Source organism: Homo sapiens, chromosome 9 (assembly GCF_000001405.40).
Source record: "Homo sapiens chromosome 9, GRCh38.p14 Primary Assembly".
NCBI classification, from domain to species: Eukaryota; Metazoa; Chordata; class Mammalia; order Primates; family Hominidae; genus Homo; species Homo sapiens.
The window spans coordinates 85,897,950-85,900,501 of record NC_000009.12 but is presented as its reverse complement, the minus strand read 5'-3'; the positions used below and the strand labels follow the sequence as shown (position 1 = coordinate 85,900,501).

General features: G+C 48.5%; 1 pseudogene, besides 1 other annotated feature; it reads right to left on the bottom strand.

Moving 5' to 3' along the window:
• Positions 288–1,673, bottom strand: PHB1P7 (PHB1 pseudogene 7; annotated as a pseudogene).
• Positions 1,046–2,245: an enhancer, noted in NCBI's record as "BRD4-independent group 4 enhancer chr9:88513172-88514371 (GRCh37/hg19 assembly coordinates)". NCBI's record gives its function as "activates an origin of replication core promoter dependent on BRD2, P300/CBP, MED14 and CDK7 cofactors, and independent of BRD4, by STARR-seq in HCT116 cells {active_cell/tissue: HCT116}" and the evidence as "EXISTENCE:reporter gene assay evidence [ECO:0000049][PMID:35650434]".

Below are 2,552 nucleotides of genomic sequence, written 5' to 3'. Positions count from 1 at the left end.
TTCATTTTCCTTTTAGCTGAACACCTTTTAATACTTGTAGTATGGGCTTGCTGGGGATGAATTCTCACTCTATTTTTTTCTTGAAATCCTTATTTCTACGTCATTTCTAAAGAGTATTTTCACTATTTATAGATGCTTGCTAAGTCACTATGGCAGTTATTTTCCTTCAGGACATTGAAAATGCCATGTTATTGTCTTCTGGCTTCCATTGCTTCTACTGAGAAGTAAGCTATCATTTCAGTTGTTGTTCCTTTTAAGATGATCTGTCTTTTTTTCCTCTGGCTGACATTTTTGTTTTAGACTAATTAGAGATCTGAAGTGATTTTACCTTTATTTCCTTCAGTTTAAGCCAATTATGAAATTTCACAGTGATTTCTGATGTAGGGGCAGAAGGAAGGCCGTGTTAAGAATCATCGGGACGGCCGGGTGTGTTGGCTCACGCCTGTAATTCCAGCACTTTCGGAGGCTGAGGCGGGTGGATCATGAGGTCAGGAGTTCAAGACCAGCCTGGCCAAGATGGTGAAACCCCGTCTCTCCTAAAAATACAAAAAATTAGCTGGGCGTGGTGGCGTGGGCCTGTAGTCCCAGCTACTCAGGAGGCTGAGGCAGGAGAATCTCTTGAATCCGGGAGGCAGAGCTTGCAGTGAGCCGAGATTGCGCCACTGCACTCCAGCCCGAGCAACAGAGCGAGACTCCGTCTCAAAAAAAAAAAAAAAAAAAAAAAAGAATAATCGGGGTTGTGGCCCAGTTGGCCCTCGGAGGTGCAGGCAGGGTGGGCCCTCACCAGCGCAGCTGCAGGGGCATGGACTGCCCTGCCCGCAGGTAGGTGATGTTCCGAGAGCGTAAAAGCTGGTAGGTGATGTCCTCCACAGCTTCCAGCTTGCGCAGCTCGATCAGGGCGTCCCCTGCTGTGGCCAGTGAGTTGGTGATCAGCTCGGCCACCTTGGAGTCGCCCTCAGCAGAGATGATGGCCGCCTTTTTCTGCTGCTCAGCCTTTTCCACCACAAATCTGGCCCTCTCTGCTTCCTGCTGAGCTATCTGTTTGGCTTCCACCGCTTCTATGAACTCCTTCCCGAAGGTCAGATATGTCAAGGACACGTCGTCCAGAATGAGCCCAAAGGTGGCTGCTGGCTCCGTAAGGTCATCGCTCACCTGCCTGGAGATCTGCTCTCTCTGGGTGATTAGTTCTCCAGCTTCAAAGCGAGCCACCACTGACTTGAGGATCTTGTTCGTGATGGACGGCGGCACACGCTCATCATGGTCCTCTCCGCTGCTGGTGAAGATGTGAGGAAGCTGGCTAGCTACGGGCCGGAAGATGATGCGCAGTGTGAGGTTGACATTCTGTAAATCTTTGCTACCGGTGATGACTGGCACATTACGTGGCTGAGAACGGCAGTCAAAGATATTGATTTCTGTAACCATGGGATGAGACAGTGAGTCCCTTTGCCTACCACAATGTCCTGTACTCCACGGAATCGGTCAAAGACGACAGCTCTGTGCCCAGCATCCACACTATATAAGGCAGAGTTCACCACGCCTCCTGCAACAACTAAGGCCAGGCCAAACTTGCCGATGAACTCAAACATTTTGGCAGCCATGTTTTCTTCTGCTGGACCCTCTCACACCCGCTTCCACCCTGACGTCCACACGAATTCTCTAGCCACATATACTGCGCGTGCGCCGCACTGCTTCTCCTCGGCCCGCTCTCCTTCCCTGGCTGCTTTTTAAGAGTTTCTGTCTTCCTTGGATTTTCAGCCTTTTTACTCCAATGTGCCTAGGTGAAAACCTTTTCCTGTCCTGCTTTGGGCTTGTAGGGCTTCTGGAATTGGTTGGACTGATGTCTGTACAAGATTTACTTCTGTGTTACCCCAGATCCATGCGCTAACCTTATTGACACAAATTCATATCTGCCCTCTGTGGTGGCTGTTCCCTGATCCTTGTCACACTTGAGCACAAACTGCCAGCGGCTTATCTCACACACTTGCTATGTGCTTTCATGTCCTGCCCTGGGGCTTTCCCGGTGGGCTGAGGCATGAGATACATACCATGGTACCCACTCAGCGCTCACGTGTACACAATCTTGAAGTGTGGGAGGTATCACGCCATATAGTGGGTTCTACCCAATGGGAGGGGAAAACTCCTGGACAGTTTTCTCTCCCTTCCTCCTCAGAACCAGATTGTTGAAGTAACAGTTGCTCATACCTTTTCTGATGATGGGTTGCGAGACGAGGTAATAGACTTTACAATGGGTGTATGCCCACGTTAGTGTAACACACGCTACATCTGTACTACATCCTTCTCTATCTCACATCAATTTTGCCCCACTCGTGCACTTGTAGGAATACACTTACCAGTAAAGTATACATGTAAGCTTTTGCCTCAGGCTCTGCTTTTTAGAGGATCTGGGCTATGAGCTCCTCAAATACTTATTCTGACCCACTTCCTCTTTCCTTTTTTTTTCTGGAACTCCTGTAAAATGCATGTTAGTTTTTTTCCTTCACCACATCCTCTGGGTTTATTATTCTCTCTTATGTAATTTTTATCTGTTTGTC